Source organism: Homo sapiens, chromosome 7, assembly GCF_000001405.40.
Source record: "Homo sapiens chromosome 7, GRCh38.p14 Primary Assembly".
NCBI lineage: Eukaryota > Metazoa > Chordata > Mammalia > Primates > Hominidae > Homo > Homo sapiens.
The window spans coordinates 158,315,055-158,333,692 of NC_000007.14; the positions used below are offsets into that span (position 1 = coordinate 158,315,055).

Sequence of the window (18,638 nt, forward strand, 5' to 3'; positions counted from 1 at the left end):
CGGGACGCCCTCAAGGACAGAGGTGAACCCGGGACCCCCTAAAGGACAGAGGTGAACCCGGGACCCCCTGAAGGACAGAGGTGAACCCGGGACCCCCTGAAGGACAGAGGTGAACCCGGGACCCCCTGAAGGACAGAGGTGAACCCGGGACGCCCTCAAGGACAGAGGTGAACCCGGGACCCCCTAAAGGACAGAGGTGAACCCGGGACCCCCTGAAGGACAGAGGTGAACCCGGGACCCCCTGAAGGACAGAGGTGAACCCGGGACCCCCTGAAGGACAGAGGTGAACCCGGGACGCCCTCAAGGACAGAGGTGAACCCGGGACCCCTTGAAGGACAGAGGTGAACCCAGGACGCCCTCAAGGACAGAGGTGAACCCAGGACCCCATGAAGGACAGAGGTGAACCCAGGACTCCCTGAAGGATAGAGGTGAACCCGGGACGCCCTCAAGGACAGAGGTGAACCCGGGACCCCTGAAGGACAGAGGTGAACCCGGGACCCCTGAAGAACAGAGGTGATTGGAAACCCTCCTGTGAGCAGAATCTCCAGCAGTGCACCTGGCTGGTGATTCCGCCTGGAAGGAGAAACGGCCAGATGTGTGATTACTTATGAATTAATGGGCTGTGGCCAGTGGTTTGGCTGGAGGGCCAGGGACTCGGAGAGAATATGGTTGGAAACATTGTTGACAAGGGCAACTGGGGAAGAGACATATTAGATAGACGTCTATGAAGTGGTATGAAGTACTAAGATATGAATGTCCCGTGTGAATGTTCTCCAAAGAGTGACCTCAGCAGAGGAGGATTTTAATAACCAAGTGGATAGGGTGACCTGTTCTGTGGACACCAGTCAGCCTCTTTCCCCAGCCACCCTGCCGTTGCCCCATGGGCCCATGAACAAGGTGGTCGCGGTGGCAGAGTTGGAGGTGATGCCTGGGCTCCCACTCAACAAGGCCAGCCCTGCTGTGGCCACCCTTGAGTCCCCAGTCAGCCACCACAAAGACCATCCCTGAGTCCCCAACATGACATCATTCCCCGAGGTGATCAGCCAGCCGCCGGGGGGCAGGTGGTTCCGCAGGCAGCTTCCCCTGTGGAAGGGGTGGGGAATGGTCCTTGCTGGACTAGACGCTTACTCCAGATGTGGATTTCCCTTCCCTACGCACAGTGCTCCTGCCAGAACTACCCTCCGTGGAGTCAGAACGCCTTATCCATCACCATGGTGTCCACACAGCACTGCTTCTGACCAAGAGCCCTCACTTCACAGTCAAAGAAGCGCAGCAGTGGGCCGGTGCTGTGGGAATTCCCTGGTCCTACCATGTTGCCATATATAATTTTTAAATTATCATAATTTTAAAAATTATCTTCTCATCACCCCTGCAGGGACCACCTGCAACAAAAATTTCACAACAGTGACAGGCAGAGGCTGATTCTCTCCAGGCCGAGCCACGCCTGCACTGGACCCAGCCAGGCCCAGATAAGCAGCCGACGCCTGCCTACTTTGTGCCAGGCCCAGCTGCGGGCCACTGCAGCCTCCTGGCATCTCCTCCCTCAGACACAGGAGGCAGCAGGCCTGGGCTCCTCCAAACCCAGGAACGGACGATCCCAGTAGGAAGCACCCATGAGCCCAGCGCCCGGCTCCCACCTGCCCCTTCCACCACCACACTCGTGGATTCAGTCCGTCCCAGCTCCTCACCGCCCAGGAGGAGAAGCCAAGCCCGTGCGGTCGCTCAGTGCGGCAGCCGCCGAGCCTCGGCCCACGCCCGCCCTACCTGTGCCGGAAAGCTTCTGCAACGCCACGCGCAGGCGCTGCAGGGCCACGGGCGACACCTCGTAGCGGTAAAAGTCCATTGCCGGAACCTTCTGGCACCTTCCAAACACTCCATCTGTGAGAAGGGAAGGAGATAAGACAGAACGAGACGTTTCATTTTCAGAGAGCAGGAAGGTGTCACACACGTCCTTGCAATGCGTTCTGATCATGTGCCGCCGTGAGGTTTTGGAGCACGGCGTCACCAGAGGGCTGTTAGGACCCGGGAGCACCCGGAGGATGCTGGTTTGTGAGATAAAAACCGAGCATCACGGAAAACACAAATGCCAAGGTGGAGAGAAAGTCCAGTGTGGCTGCAATGTTGTCACTCCACTTTCCTCCATACCCCCCGAGCCCTCCTTTTATGTAATTTCACATTTTTTATGTAAAACTTGCCTCTGACAACTCAGTGACAACAAAAAAACAAAGTCAATAACATTCCAGGCCAGTTTTCCAGATGAAAAACAGAACACCCAGGAAATATAAATATTACTTTGCAGGAGCTACAAGGATCGGCGGAGACGCCTCTCCCTGGGCTGCGTGGGAGGCAAGCACGGCTTCCCGGGCTCCTTTCCGGCGGCGCAGGAGAGGCGCGGGGCTGGCGAACGGTGTGGGACTAATGGGGACTAATTTATTTAGCTCGATTCCATTTGTCTGAAATGGCAGACTCTGCTCATCAACATCCTTTCCAACCACACCTTCTAATTAATTTAGTCCCCAATTAGTCTTTATTCGGCGAATTGTTCACTTTGAGACAAGCTTCCTGTGGGGTTTCAAACATTCAAATTACCTTCTTTGGTGCACACAAAAGGTTAATTCAGGCGCTACTGCTTCCACACAGGGCGGCCATCTGCAGCTTCGGGCGGGGCGGAAGGGGAAATGGTCTCTTTTATTGTTCACTAGGTTTCGCCGTGCAGCTTGGCTGAAGAAAGCCATTCAAATGCAACAAGTGTAATTAGCAGAAACACATTTGCCCAGGGCCAGGCTGACGGTAATTGCTGGTCTGATATTGCATATATGCTCACGACGACGGGGCCGGGTGATTAGCAGAAAATAACCTCGAGTATTGCAAGCGTCCTGCGGGTTTCTATGGGACTTTGCAAAGCCCAGGGAATCCGGGAGGCAGCCTGGCAGCTGCGCGGGCGGGCGGACAATGGCAAGGAGGAGACGCCAGGCCCGCGCCGTTTCCCTCCGTGCAGCCCGGCCGCGCCGCCTCCTGTCCGAGAGCCGGCCCGAGATGCCTGCGAGGCCACACAAAGGCGGAGGGCTCTCGGGGACGCGTCTGCAGAGCCCGGCGCCCCCCACCGTCCGTGATGGACAGGCCGCACCACAGGCGGGAACACAGGCAGATGTGCCCGCTCCTTTGCCTTCCTCAGACACGCACCATTCAGTGCAAGCAGGAGTGGGAAAGGGGGGAGGAGGGAGAAAGGGGCAAAGAGGGAAAATAAGGAGCGACTTCAAACATACCCAGTGTTCCTACTCTGCTTTTCGAATGAAAATATCTTGAAAATAGAAAGGCAACAAGCAGGAACTGGGCAGCACGTCGAGACGGCCCAGCTCCCGTGCTCACAATGCAGAACAATCCTAGGCCTCAGGACCAAGGCCTGGGGCCCCAGAGGAGGGAGTGAGCCACGGGCCAGGAAGAACCAAAAGCCAGGTTCCTGGACCCCCAAGCGGGGCCCAAGTCAGTGACCACCTAATCCTAGGCCAGGGCCGGCGGCCTCTTCCGATCCCTGAGGCCAGGGAGGCTCAGAAGCCCAGGGCTCCACTCAGCCGCAGAGCCCGCGAGCTGCACTCCCCACCCTCAGAAGGAAGGCGCTCTCGGCCGGCCCCAGAGCAGTGACGGTGCCGGCTGCCTGCAGCTCCCCGGCCTCTTGCGCACATTGGAAAATGCACCCCCGGGGTGGACGTGCGTGGCCAGCTCAGGGCATGGCAGAGCCTGGCTGGTCCGGGCCCCACTCGGCCACTCCGGGTGTCTGCACACAGGGCTTGGTGATTTGGTGCCAAATATAAGAGAAGCACATCTGTGAGTAGCCAACGCTTCGCAACATGCAGCTGAGGATCCCCTTCCCAGGCAACCTCATCAAATCATTCAGCTTTTCATAAAGAAAAATGGCCCAGGACAATTCCTATCAATTTTGGAACGTTCCAAGCAAAGCATTTCTCAAGCATAACAGCCTCATTCTTTAAATTTTGTTTCTTGCATACAATGTCATAAATATATTTTAAAATTATATTAGACTTTCTTGAAAACTTTCTTTTAAACATTTATTTAGAATATATACAATATAATGCATAATATAGTTTGTGCTTTTAAAATCAGTTTTAGCTAATAATTTTAGCTACTTGACAGTTGAAATAAACTAACCATTGATTCTCTTTGCCTTAGACTATCCCTGTGCTGAATGCAGTGGACACAGACACCATCCCCAGTGCATTGTTAATAGACTTTATTTTTAGAGCAGTTTAGATTACTGCAAACTTGAGTGGAAAGTAGGGATATTTTCCATGCATCCTCACACATGCACACACACACACAGCCTCCCACACACACACACAGCCTCCCACACACACACACACACAGCCTCCCTCACACACGCACACAGCCTCCCTCACACACAAGCACAGCCTCCCTCACACTCACACAGCCTCCCCCCACACACACAGCCTCCCTCACACACACAGCCTCCCTCACACACACACGGTCTCCCTCACACACGCACACAGCCTCCCTCACACACGCACACAGCCTCCCTTGTACACACACAGCCTCCCTCACACACACACAGCCTCCCTCACACACACACACAGCCTCCCTCACACACACAGCCTCTCTCACACAGCCTCCCTCATACACACAGCCTCCCTCACACACACTCACAGTCTCCCTCACACACACAGCCTCCCTCACACACACAGCCTCCCTTGTACACAGCCTCCCTCGTACACACACAGCCTCCCTCACACACACTCAGTCTCCCTCACACACACACACAGCCTCCCTCACACACACAGCCTCCCTCGTACACAGCCTCCCTCGTACACACACAGCCTCCCTCACACACACACAGCCTCCCTCACACACACACACAGCCTCCCTCACACACACACAGCCTCCCTCACACACACACAGCCTCCCTCACACACACTCACACAGCCTCCCTCATACACACACACAGCCTCCCTCACACACACTCACAGTCTCCCTCACACACACACACAGCCTCCCTCACACACACTCACATAGTCTCCCTCACACACACACACAGCCTCCCTCACACACACAGCCTCCCTTGTACACACACAGCCTCCCTCGTACACACACAGCCTCCCTCGTACACACACAGCCTCCCTCACACACACACACAGCCTCCCTCACAGGGTATTTGCAGATATTAATTTTCCACTTTTTTGGGTAAAGACCAACACGAGTGACTGCTGGCTCATATGGTAAGAGTATGCTTAGTTTTGTAGGAAACCGCCAAACTGTCCTCCATGGTGACAATCAGACTAACAGTGGCCGTGCCATTTTTCACTCCCAGCAGCTGCGATGGCACCCCCATCGCCCATGTCCTCACCACAGTGACAATCAGCCTAACGGTGGCCGTGCCATTTTTCACTCCGAGCAGCTGTGATGGCGCCCCCATCGCCCGCATCCTCAGCAGCGCCAGGTGGCGTCCGTGTTCCCGCGTCCTCGGCAGCGCCGGGTGGCGTCCGTGTTCCCACGTCCTCGGCAGCGCTGGGTGACACTTGGAGGCGTCCATGTTCCAGCGTTTGGCTGCTGTCATAGGTGTGTATCGGTATCTCATGATTTTTTATCCAATGCATTTTTCAACAATGATATTCATCCTTATCTCCGTATTTAAAGGACTTCATGATGTGGGTGTCCTTTATTCTAGTAAATACTCAGCAATAAGGCTTGTTGAAGATGATTGTGACCAGAAGGAAGGAGCCCAGAAGCTCCCACAGATCATGCCCAGGTTCGCTGCTACCTGCTTGATTTTAAGGGGATACTGGATTCCCCCAAATATGGATACGTGCCTAGCAGTGAAATAGAAAATTAAGGAAATTTCTAAATACATCTGGTAGAATTGATTTTTATGTGGCCAGAATTTTGAAACTATTGCTTTGTTCTTCCGGGTCACTTGGCTAATAGGCAGGACCCCAAAAGGTCTCTATGAACATACTAGAGAAAAGGACTGGAAAGTCAAATCTCAATCAGGAAAGCATCAGGTGCGATGAGACTCCGGAGTCGGGACGCCAGGGGTGATCTACACAGCAGGGGTGCCGGAGCCAGAGAACCAAAGCTCCCACCAGTCCAGGCTGAGCTCCACCGTCTCAGACGTGCAGTGCGGCCTCTGAAACAATCCCGGGAAGTGGCACACTGAAGTCGCCTCACCGCCGACCATTTAATCACCCTAGAAACCACCCAGAGCCCGTAACCCTCAGGCCCCTCCTCTGCGGGACTCCTGCCTTCGTGTTCTTGGGACACAGCCAGGACCCCACCTGGGATCTGAGCTTGCTTGGGGTTTCCTCATGAACTCTCTTCTACTTCGGACTCTGTTTCCTGTGCCATGGCCCTGCAGCCTGTCGACATGACCCTATCGTCGAAGCCCGGACTGACCCGTCCAGCTCTGCAGCCCTGCGGGCCATGCTGAGCTCCCAGCTGGAAGTGCATCACCGCACCGCAGTGGAGGCAGGAGGCCTTGGGTGATGGAGCCCATCCACGAGACTTTCAGAACCAGGGTCCTGCTCTTCGTCCAGAACGGGCATTCCATGCGCAACCTTAATTCCAAGTCTCACTGCTGGCAACTGAGTTCAAATTGGGGGCTGTCTGAAAATCATGGGAGATGAGAACAGGTTTGCCTATGAAAACTGTGGGCTCCCTGTCCACCCGTCCTTGGCTACTGTCACCATCAAAACACTCATGTGTGCAAATATATGTGTACGTGTCAATCCTTATACAGAAACACGTGCACAGCTGCTAACTCATACACGCACATAAGCACAGCCGCTAACGTGTTTAACTGCCAAACTTACTGTGCGTGCCCAAGGATGCCGCCAATCCAACATCATAAACCCTTCCGGCAAACAGACACTGCCCGTGCCTCTGCGCGGAAGCCTAACCCCCAGGTGCTCCTCGATGACGGCTTCGTGCCTTCTCCCTCTGTCTTCCCTGCAGCGTTGGGTGCTCTCATCAACGAGGCTCATCATCTCTGTCCCCAGCATTGCCTGAGCCTTGCAAAGCCCCTTCCTGTTCTGGGAGCAGGTCAGTGCTATGCCTGCTGCTTGGCTGCCTCCGCCCCACACCCTCGTCCCAGGGAAGCCACAGCTCTGCCCTGCATCCTGCTTGCATGGCCAGGCCAGGACAGCCGGGAGACACGCACACAGAAAAAGCAGACACTGCAGGCTCCATGCTCCAGAGCTTCCAGGATCCTGGGGCAACAGATGTTCACCACTGATGGTTCGGTTATAATTGTGGACAGGCTGCAAAAAAGGGCACGAGAGCACCTGACAGAGGGCACTGACCTCACCCAGCGGTCAGAGAACGAACAGCGGCCGACCTGAGGACATCGAGGACACTCCAGGCTAAGGGAGCAGCTCCGTGCATGGCAGCATCCAGCCCCGGTGGGCGACGGGGAGGGAGCAGTTCCGTGCATGGCAACACCTGGCCCCAGTGGGCGGCCAGGAGGGAGCAGCTCCGTGCATGGCAGCACCTGGCCCCAGTGGGCAACGGGGAGGGAGCAGCTCCGTGCATGGCAGCACCTGGCCCTGGTCAGCCCCAGTGGGCAGTGGGGACAAGGCCTTGCAGTTCTGGATCAGGCAGGAGAGGACACCAAGCTGGTCAAGCCACTCAAGCAGATTGTGCAGAGCCTGCGGGAATCAGAGGCAGTGGCCTTCATCCCAGGAGCTAGAGGAGGCCACCTCCACTTGGGTGGTGTTCCAGGCAGGGCAGGCTCTTGAATGGGTCTGCGTTTTAAAACAGATCTCCCTGGCAAGGGCTGGAGATTGCCAGGAGCCCATGGCGGGTAAACAGAGCAGCCCCAACCAGGGGATGGTGGCTAAGTGAGGATGGTGGTCATGGAGACCAGAGACCTGGATAGACTGGAGCCATCTGCAAGGTGAACCTTAGGACAACACACATCCCTCTGCCGGCAGCAGCAACCAGGCCTTTCCACATGCTACCCAGCCCATGCACAGACAGGCTTGTGGGGGAGGGGAATATTCTGGGAGACGTTCTGTAGAATGAGTCTTTTTCCAAAACAGGAAGGAAGGCAGGCTTCTTGCTGCCCTGGCTGGGAGAGGCGAGACATGGAAGGCGTCCCCCGACAAGAATTCTGCCTGGCCTGGAACTCCGATATCAGGGACTCAACGAACTGGGGGGCCTCACACCCCCAGAGTTCTGGGATGCAACCCCCTTCACTGTGCAGACAGAAGGCTGGACCCCACAGAACTCCAATCTCAGGGACTCAGTGAACCAGGGGGCCCCACATTTCAGAGTTCTAGGACGCAACCCCTTCACTGTGCAGACAGAAGGCTGGACCCCACTGCCTCTGGGACCGGAATGGACAGTGCTAAAGACAGTGAGAGAAGGAATGCCCAGGATGCAGAGCAGCGGATGAACAGGGCCCAGGACAATGGACACAAAAGCTTTGAGGAGCAAAAGGTTTGCTTAGAGACACTTTTATTAACAGTAATCTAGAATTGGGTGGTCAGTTTCTTTCATTTGAAAGAAAATATTGAGCATTTTCTGTGGTTGGATTTTTGGAGAAATAAGAAAAAGAGCTCATTTATCTTGGTAATTTGTTTTAAACAGTGGTCCTTAGAGCACTGTTCCCACAGGCCAAAGTAATTTCATTCGCAAGCGTCACTGTCCCCAAAACACAAACACAGGCCTCCTCCAGGACCAAGCTTCCAGCCCACTTCTATTCTCATATAGTCTGTGGGGCTGCATACCTCCCTCCAACCTTACACCACACGTGTGTACACGGTGCATGTATGCACATTCATACCTGCATGAACCAACACACACATTTTCACACACTTCTCCCATGCACGGGACACTCACACATACACACACTCACACGCACCCACGTGAACATTCCAACACATGTACACACACACAAGTGTGCACACACTCATTTGCATGCACTTGATTATGCAGACACACACACAGGAGCACGTACACACACATTTGCAAACGTGCACACACACACACACACACCCAGACACACTAACTCATATACAGGTGCACACAAGCGCACATGCACAAACTCACACGCCCACACGCGTACGCTCACACACAGTCTCCGCATAGACAAGACGGCACCTCGCCTCTACCGCCCTGCAGGACCACCCTCTCCCCGGTGACACCGTGAGTTCCTGGAAGGCAGGGATCACAGCTACAGCCTCTTCACGCCCCCACAGCATCTGGTACAGTGCCTTGCCCCCGGTGTGGACTAAAAGGATGTTAGTGAATGACTATAACTGGTATTTTCCCATTTGTCTAAAAGAAAATGGAGATGTCCGTGGAAGTGTTTAAGACCATCAGCTAGAAGCCTCATTTGTTGAAATCTCACATAGATTTACAAGTCCTCACCCCTGGCAGTGACCCACTTGGATGAAAGACTCACTGGGGACCAAAAAGGCTGGTGGTGGGGGCACCCTAGGAGGGGCTGGCATGAGTCTCGCAAGTTCTCAGGTGGCCATGCGCCTCCACCCCATCCCGTACTGTCTCTCTGCTTGGGCTCAGAGGGCCGATTGACCCCCAGCATTTCTATCCCCAGCTCCATAAGTGAAGCAGGTGATCCTAGTGGACCTCTGTTCTTCAGAGTAAGGGTGGGGCTCTGCTGCCCAGGGTGCCCCCAGAGGGTCCTGTTGCTTGGAGATACTGAGCCTCCACTCTCTGTGACACCCATAGCACTGACCCAGAACCATCCAATTGGAGCACCGGAAAGCTGTGGACCGAACAAGGTGGCTTTGATACCCTGTGAGGAAAGTACTCTTGCCACACTTTGCTTAGGTGATACGCCCAGGCCTGCACTAAACGACATCCCGAGTGACACGTCCAGGCCTGCCCTAGAGGATATCCTAGGAGAAATGGCCCAGAGACGCTAACTGTGCATCTGCTGAGAAACGTCACTCACTGCGTTACCCCACAATTCTCCACAGAGATCCACAGGGGGTCCCCCAGTCCCCACAATTATCCACAGAGATCCACAGGGGGTCCCCCAGGCCCCACAATTCTCCCCAGAGATCCACAGGGGGTCCTCCAGTCCCCACAATTCTCCACAGAGATCCAAGGGGGTCCCCCAGGCCCCACAATCTCCACAGAGATCCACAGGGGGTCCCCCAGCCAGGAGCATCTTCCTTCCACCAAACGCCGTGAACACGACCAGCTCCTGGGCAGGGACACCTCCTGCTTACAGGCGCCTGTGGCACAGATTCCAGTGAACTAACCATCTGCTTTTCCCCTTTTTCTAATATCTTTACCTACTTTTACTTATATGTCTTTTTTTTTTTAACATTTCTTATTTATTTATGGAAATATAACAGGACTTGGGAATTAATGAATACAATATGATCACTTAATTTAGTATTTCAAAGTGAGGCAATTAGCTTAGGGCATTGTTTGAAATAACCACAATGCGCATACCTATTCAATCATTTGTGTAAACAGCATATTAAGGTAAATGGTATGCACGTGAAAACTGATTTATCTCAGCTGCCTGGAAACTATCAGAACAAAGTTCTTGAATTGTGAGCAAGAAGGGATGGGCAGAAAAGGCACCCCAATTACGAAGCCTTTGCAGATGAGAGGCGTGGGAGGCTGTATTCCGACAAGAAGGGCAGGCGAGAGACACCCGGCAAACCACCGGGCAGGCAGAACCCCGGCGGAGCAAGCACTAGCACGTTCCAGGGCTGGGCAGGGACTGCGACCATTTCTAGAATCGTCACAAAGCCATCGCTGAGACAGACACTCAGGTTTGCAGAATACTGTCTACAGTAAACACCAAATGCATCCGCTCTTGCGGCTGCCAGCTGACCCTGCCCAGACAAAAGGAACGGGCAGTCAGTCTCACAGCAGCTCCCTGGGAACACACCTGGGAAGCCCAGGAGGGGAACGCGGCCTCCTGGGGGTGTCCCAGGCACTGAACCCAGAGCCTAGAAACAGCAACGTTGCAGGGCTCAGGGCGCACTTTCCAGAGAGAATGGGACCACATCCAGGGCCCCACAGGCCATACCCGCCGCAGGTCTTGAGTCTGGCAGCCAGGGAGGGAGCACAGCCGCCTCTCATGAAACAATGGCACCCTGCTGTGCTTCTTCAAGCTGGTCTGTCACTCACTCCCTCCCTGCATCCAAACAAGGCAAGGCCCAGAGGCTGCGGTCACCCAGGTGGCCAGTGAGCACCAAGCAGCACCAGTGACCCCTCGTGGCTGCCTCCCTGCAGTGCCAGTTCTTCATCCGAGACATCGCTCAGGAGCCCTGCTCTGGCTCAGGCCTGAAGATGCCAGTGGCAGACTCAGTCGGCCAGTGTGAGGGGCCAGGAGACGAGACACTGCTGCCCAGTACAGCAGGAGAATTAATGCACACTTGTACACGTGTGCACAATACACAAGCAACCACATACACAGACATTCACAGCATGCACACACAATGTATGCAGACACATGCACATATGCAGACACACAACCACATAATGCATGCACATTCTCACATACACGTCCTCACACATGCTCTCACAGGCACACGTTCTCACACACATGCACATTCTCACATGCACACGTTTTCACACATGCTCACACTCTCACATGCACACACATGCACAGTCTCACACATGCACACATCCTCACACATGCTCTCACATGCATACATTCTCACACACATGCACATTCTCACATGCACGTTTCACACATGCTCACACACTCACATGCACACACATGCACATTCTCACACATGCACACATCCTCACACATGCTCTCACATGCATTCTCACACACATGCTCATTCTCGCATGCACACGTTCTCACACATGCACACATTCTCACACATGCACATGCTCACACGTTCTCACATGCACACATACACATTTTCACACATGCACACACGCACACATTCACATGCACATACACATTCTCAGATGCACACACATGCATTCTCACATATATACACATTCTCACACATGCACATGTACACATTCTCATCTGCACATACATGCACACATTCTCACATGCACTCATTCTCACCCATGCACATTCTCACACAAGCACACACATACACACTCATATCCACACACGTGCACACATTCTCACATGCACACACACATGCTCACATTCTCACACATGCACACATTCTCAAACACACACGTAAACATTCTCATATCCACATACATGCACACATTCTCACATGCACACACGTGCTCACACATGCTCACACATGTACACATTCTCACACATACACATTCTCACATGCACACACGTGCTCACACATGCTCACACATGTACACATTGTCACACACACATTATCACATGCACACACATGCTCACACATGCTCACACATGTACACGTTCTCACACACATTCTCACATGCACACACCTGCTCACACATGTACACGTTCTCACACATACATTCTCACATGCACAAGTTCTCACACACATGAACATTCTCACACACATGCACATGTACACACTATCTGTTCTCACATGCTCACACATGTACATGTTCTCATGTACACACTCACTACTCACACTCAGAATAGCAGAAGGAGCCCTCACCAGCCTGGGACCGCCATGCTCCAGGTGTCCTGCTGTACCAGGCTAGGTCACCCTTTCATTCTTTCCTGCCTCCCCTGCTGGGGTCCCTCAGGACCCTGCCTCTCTCCCACTGCCCCCTCCTGGTGGAGGCTGCCTTGCCAAAGTACCTTCAATCTGTAAATCCCGGTGCCCTGGGACACTGGAGCTGCCTCTGAAGTCCCCTCCCTGCAGGGAGCTGGCAGCGTTGCCAGGGTTCCCTCGGTCCCATGGGGCTTCTCAAAGCAGCACCACAGACGGAGGAGCCCACTGCTCCATCAGGGTCCCCAGGGGTGCAGCAACAAGAAAAAAATCTCCCCAGCTATTTTTGGAGGAGGGAAAAGTAATTACAGCTCAGAATCACTGCCCTGTTGAAAGGAATTCTCCAGAGGGAGAAAAAGCCCTTTATCTGAACTGATCAAGCACCTGCCATGCACATTTCTGCAAGGAAGCTGTAAAAGTGCTCCCATTCTGCAAGGAAGCTGTAAAAGTGCTCCCATTCTCAGGGAGTAGAAACTGCTGTCATGGCATCCAGTCATAACTGCTGCAAAAATTCCAGGAGGCCAAAGGTGAATCCTGAGAGACAGCAATGGCTTCTGAGGCCCAAGGAAGCAGGCACTGGCTCACCACACACCCAGGTCAGATTTAAGGAGCCGTTGGATCCGTGGGCTGCGTCCAAGGCAGGACTGCTGTGAAGTCTGAGCAGCTTAGTTCGTAATGAAACCTGAAGATAAGCCGAGACCCTATATCGCTGGAAATTCCTTTATTTTCAAGGATTTCGTTACAGTTCAGAGCAGCCACTGACAGGCAGCAGAAGGCAGGGGACAGAGTGACAGTGCCTGGGAGCGGCCAGCACAGCCTATGCATCTGCAGAGCAGCGTGAGGCTCTGACTGGGGAGGAGCCCCACGTCCGGGCAGCACCTGCACCCACAGCGGGAGCCTCACTGTCCGGAGAGGCCAGCTTCCCTTGTGTGAGGAGCAGGGCCCCCATTCCTCCCACCACCCAGATCCCAGTGAGGCCTGGGATGGTATATCCAGGAGAGGCCAGCTTCCCTTGTGAGTGTGAGTGACGTCTGCAGGTGTCAGGTCTTATGGTGAGAGTGTGGGTGTCAGTGACATCTGCAAGTCACTAGGAGCGGGGCCTCCATTCCCCCCCCCCCGCCACCCAGGGATCCCAGGGAGGCCTGGGACAGTAAATCCAGGAGATCCCAGCTTCCCTGAGCGACAAGCGGGACCTCTGTTCCTCTCGCCACCCAGGGATCCCAGTGAGGCCTGGGACGGTAAATCCAGGAGAGGCCAGCTTCCCTTGTGAGTGTGAGTGATGTCTGCAAGCATCAGGTCTTATGATGAGATTGTGGGTGTGAGTGACATCTGCAAGTCACTATGAGTGGGGCCTCCATTCCTCCCGCCACCCAGGGATCCCAGTGAGGCCTGGGATGGCAAATCCAGCGGCGCACAGCCCACTGCACCGAGGGAGGCGCACGACAGAAGCCACAGCTTGAGGGTGTGAGCCGGCAGTACTGAGGAGCCCAGCAGACACCGGCCAGGCGGGGCAGGGGGAAGCGTGGCGGGTGGGAGGCCCTTCTGGGAGGTGAGGAGCAGGCTAGGAGGGGAGGACAGTGAAGACAGTGCCGAGAACACAGCCAGTCATGCCTCCCTCACGGAGCACCAGCGCGCCCAGCACTTCCCAGCCTTTTACCTTTAAGGATGCCTTAAACCCCCACCCCAAGCCCATGAGGCTCCTCCTCCATGCAACAGGCTGTGTGCCGAAACCAGCCCCGGGTGCTGCTGTTAGCAGGCGGACGGCTGAGAGGCGAGGAGGTGGGGCCTTCCTTACACAGGCCCCAAGGACGGCTCACGCTCCAGCCACATGAGGACACGTGAGGAGGCACCGTCGATGAGCCAGGAGGGGACTCGCCAGACACCAGACGTCAACCCTGCCAGGGCGGTGACCTTGGCTTCCAGCCTTCAGAACTGAGAAATCAATGTCTGCTGTTTCTAAGCCCCGCAATAGGTGGTACTTTGAGCAGCCTTCATGGACTAAGACACTGCGTATTATTATCCCATTGACGCCATGTGGAAATTAAGGCACAGGGAGGTTAAGGAACTTGCTCAGAGTTGGCCTGGGAGTCGCAACCCAAGATCTGTCCACATGGTCCCACTTCACCGCTCGAGGCTGTGTCCTCTACGGAGACTCACTTTCACTTTAGACTGTAGATGCCAGCGTCTGACTGAGAAAATGCGGTCACCATAGCTACATGGAGTGACTGGCAGAGTGTCCTATTCTGCAACCAACTCACAAAATCCTCAGGTCTTGTATGGCGACTCTCACCATAAGAGCTCACGCCCGCAGACGACACTCACACCCACACTCTCACCATAAGAGGTGACATCTGCAGACGTCACTCACACCCACACTCTCACCATAAGAGCTGACACCTGCAGACGTCACTCACACCCACACTCTCACCATAAGAGCTGACACCCGCAGACGTCACTCACACCCACACTCTCACCCTAAGAGGTGACACCCGCAGACGTCACTCACACCCACACTCTCACCATAAGAGCTGACACCTGCAGACGTCACTCACACCCACACTCTCACCATAAGAGCTGACACCCGCAGACGTCACTCACACCCACACTCTCACCATAAGAGCTGACACCCGCAGACGTCACTCACACCCACACTCTCACCCTGAGGTGACATCTGCAGACGTCACTCACACCCACACTCTCACCATAAGAGCTGACACCTGCAGACGTCACTCACACCAACACTCTCACCATAAGAGCTGACACCCGCAGACGTCACTCACACCCACACTCTCACCCTAAGAGGTGACATCTGCAGACGTCACTCACACCCACACTCTCACCATAAGAGCTGACACCCGCAGACGTCACTCACACCCACACTCTCACCCTAAGAGGTGACATCTGCAGACGTCACTCACACCCACACTCTCACCATAAGAGGTGACATCTGCAGACGTCACTCACACCCACACTCTCACAATAAGAGCTGAGGCACAAAGAGGTCACTCACATCCATACTCTCACCATAAGAGCCGACACGTGCAGACGTCACTCACACCCACACTCTCACCATAAGAGCTGACACCCGCAGACGTCACTCACACCCACACTCTCACCATAAGAGCTGACACCCGCAGACGTCACTCACATCCACATTCTCACCATAAGAGCTGATGCCCGCAGACGTCATTCACACCCAAACTCTCACCATAAGAGCTGACACCTGCAGACGTCACTCACACCCACACTCTCACGATAAGAGCTGTCACACGCAGACGACACTCACACCCACACTCTCACCATAAGAGCTGACACCCGCAGACGTCACTCACATCCACACTCTCACCATAAGAGGTGACACCTGCAGACGTCACTCACACCCACACTCTCACCATAAGAGCTGATGCCCGCAGACGTCACTCACACCCACACTCTCACCATAAGAGCTGACGCCCGCAGACGTCACTCACACCCACACTCTCACCAGAAGAGCTGTCACACGCAGACGTCACTCACACCCACACTCTCACCATAAGAGCTGACGCCCGCAGACGTCACTCACACCCACACTCTCACCATAAGAGCTGACACCCGCAGACGTCACTCACACCCACACTCTCACCATAAGAGCTGAGGCCCACAGAGGTCACTCACACCCATACTCTCACCATAAGAGCTGACACCCGCAGAAGTCACTCACACCCACACTCTCACCATAAGAGCTGAGGCCCACAGAGGTCACTCACACCCATACTCTCACCATAAGAGCTGACACCCGCAGACGTCACTCACACCCACACTCTCACCATACGAGCTGTCACCCACAGACATCACTCACACCCACACTGTCACCATAAGAGCTGACACCCGCAGACGTCACTCACACCCACACTCTCACCATAAGAGCTGAGGACCACAGAGGTCACTTACAGCCATACTCTCACCATAAGAGGTGACACCTGCAGACGTCACTCACGCCGACACTCTCACCATAAGAGGTGACACTTGCAGACGTCACTAACACCCACATTCTCACCATAAGAGCTGACACCTGCAGACGTCACTCAAACTCACACTCTCACCATAAGAGCTGTCACGCACAGACATCACTCACACCCACACTGTCACCCTAAGAGGTGACACCCGCAGACGACACTAACAACCAGATTCTCACCATAAGAGCTGACACCCGCAGACGTCACTCACACCCACACTCTCACCATAAGAGCTGACGCCCGCAGATGTCACTCACACTCACACTCCCACGATAAGAGCTGACAACTGAAGACGTCACTCACATCCACACTCTCTCCATAAGAGCTGACAACCGCAAACGTCACTGACACCCACACTCTAACGATAAGAGGTGACATCTGCAGACGACACTCACACCCACACTCTCACCATAAGAGCTGAGGCCCACAGAGGTCACTCACACCCATACTCCCACCATAAGAGCCGACACCTGCAGATGTCACTCACATCCACACTCTCACCATAAGATGTGACACCTGCAGACATCACTCACATCCACACTCTGTCCATAAGAGCTGACACCCGCAGACGTCACTGACACCCACACTCTCACGATAAGAGGTGACATCTGCAGACGTCACTCACACCCACACTCTCACCATAAGAGCTGAGGCCCACAGAGGACACTCACACCCACACTCTCACCATAAGAGGTGACACCTGCAGATGTCACTCACACCCATACTCTCAACATAAGAGCTGACACCTGCAGACGTCACTCACACCCACACTCTCACCATAAGAGGTGACATCTACAGACGGCACTCACACCCACACTCTCACCATAAGAGCTGAGGCACAAAGAGGTCACTCACATCCATACTCTCACCATAAGAGGTGACACCTGCAGACGTCACTCACACCCACACTCTCACCATAAGAAGTGACACCTGCAGATGTCACTCACACCCACACTGTCACCATAAGAGCTGATGCCTGCAGACATCACTCACACCCACACTCTAACCATAAGAGTTGACACCTGCAGATGTCACTTACACCCACACTCTCACCATAAGAGCTGAGGCCCACAGAGGACACTCACACCCATACTCTCACCATAAGAGCTGATGCCTGCAGACGTCACTCACGTACACACTTCTCACCATAAGAGGTGACACATGCAAACGTCACTCACACCCACACTCTCACCATAAGAAGTGACACCTGCAAACGTCACTCACACCCACACTCTCACCATAAGAAGTGACACCTGCAGACATCACTCACACCCACAGTCTCACCATAAGAGGTGACACCTGCAGACGTCACTCACACCCACACTCTCACCATAAGAGCTGAAACCTGCAGACGTCACTCACACCCACACTCTCACCATAAGAAGTGACACCTGCAAATGTCACTCACACCCACGCTCTCACCATAAGAAGTGACACCTGCAGACATCACTCACACCCACAGTCTCACCATAAGAGGTGACACCTGCAGACGTCACTCAAACCCACACTCTCACCATAAGAGCTGTCGCCCGCAGACGTGACTCACACCCACACTCTCCCCAAAAGAGCTGTCGCCCGCAGGAGTCACTCACACCCACACTCTCACCATAAGAGGTGACATCTGCAGACGTCACTCACACCCACACTGTCACCATAAGAGGTGACACCTGCAGACGTCACTCACACCCACACTCGCACCATAAGAGGTGACACCTGCAGACGTCACTCACACCCACACTGTCACCATAAGAGGTGACACCTGCAGACGTCTCTCACACCCACACTCTCTCCATAAGAGGTGACACCTGGAGACGTCACTCACACCCACACTCTCACCATAAGACCTGACACTCGCAGACGTCACTCACACCCACACTCTCACCATAAGAGCTGATGCCGGCACACGTCACACACACCCACACTCTCACTATAAGAGGTGACACCTACAGACATCACTCACACCCACATTCTCACCATAAGAGCTGACACCCACAGACATCACTCACACCCA

At 54.3% G+C, this 18,638-nt stretch overlaps 1 protein-coding gene across 14 annotated transcripts in view, besides 5 other annotated features; it reads right to left on the minus strand.

Annotated features, from left to right (window-relative positions):
• Positions 1-18,638, minus strand: part of PTPRN2 (protein tyrosine phosphatase receptor type N2) — a 1,048,768-nt gene that overhangs the window by 775,999 nt on the left and 254,131 nt on the right. For 11 of the 14 annotated variants that reach the window (XM_047420678.1, NM_130842.4, NM_130843.4 and 8 more), the window contains one exon: positions 1,765-1,878. The exons of 2 other annotated variants lie outside the window; for them this stretch is intronic. In XM_047420678.1, the coding sequence (XP_047276634.1) occupies positions 1,765-1,878 (114 nt within the window). Of the gene's footprint in view, positions 1-1,764; positions 1,879-2,589; positions 2,891-18,638 lie in introns of those variants that run through there. One more of the 14 variants, XM_017012475.1, reaches the window with a different exon arrangement.
• Positions 1,164-1,915: an enhancer, noted in NCBI's record as "H3K27ac-H3K4me1 hESC enhancer chr7:158108910-158109661 (GRCh37/hg19 assembly coordinates)". NCBI's record gives its function as "activates a minimal SCP1, AML or CMV promoter by ChIP-STARR-seq in primed H9 embryonic stem cells {active_cell/tissue: H9 hESC(primed)}" and the evidence as "EXISTENCE:reporter gene assay evidence [ECO:0000049][PMID:30033119]".
• Positions 1,916-2,666: an enhancer, noted in NCBI's record as "OCT4-NANOG-H3K27ac-H3K4me1 hESC enhancer chr7:158109662-158110412 (GRCh37/hg19 assembly coordinates)". NCBI's record gives its function as "activates a minimal SCP1, AML or CMV promoter by ChIP-STARR-seq in primed H9 embryonic stem cells {active_cell/tissue: H9 hESC(primed)}" and the evidence as "EXISTENCE:reporter gene assay evidence [ECO:0000049][PMID:30033119]".
• Positions 2,667-3,418: an enhancer, noted in NCBI's record as "OCT4-NANOG-H3K27ac-H3K4me1 hESC enhancer chr7:158110413-158111164 (GRCh37/hg19 assembly coordinates)". NCBI's record gives its function as "activates a minimal SCP1, AML or CMV promoter by ChIP-STARR-seq in primed H9 embryonic stem cells {active_cell/tissue: H9 hESC(primed)}" and the evidence as "EXISTENCE:reporter gene assay evidence [ECO:0000049][PMID:30033119]".
• Positions 10,379-11,365: an enhancer, noted in NCBI's record as "NANOG-H3K27ac-H3K4me1 hESC enhancer chr7:158118125-158119111 (GRCh37/hg19 assembly coordinates)". NCBI's record gives its function as "activates a minimal SCP1, AML or CMV promoter by ChIP-STARR-seq in naive H9 embryonic stem cells {active_cell/tissue: H9 hESC(naive)}" and the evidence as "EXISTENCE:reporter gene assay evidence [ECO:0000049][PMID:30033119]".
• Positions 14,295-14,492: a silencer, noted in NCBI's record as "fragment chr7:158122041-158122238 (GRCh37/hg19 assembly coordinates)". NCBI's record gives its function as "represses an EF-1alpha promoter that drives an FKBP-Casp9 reporter gene in an ReSE screen in K562 erythroleukemia cells {active_cell/tissue: K562}" and the evidence as "EXISTENCE:reporter gene assay evidence [ECO:0000049][PMID:32094911]".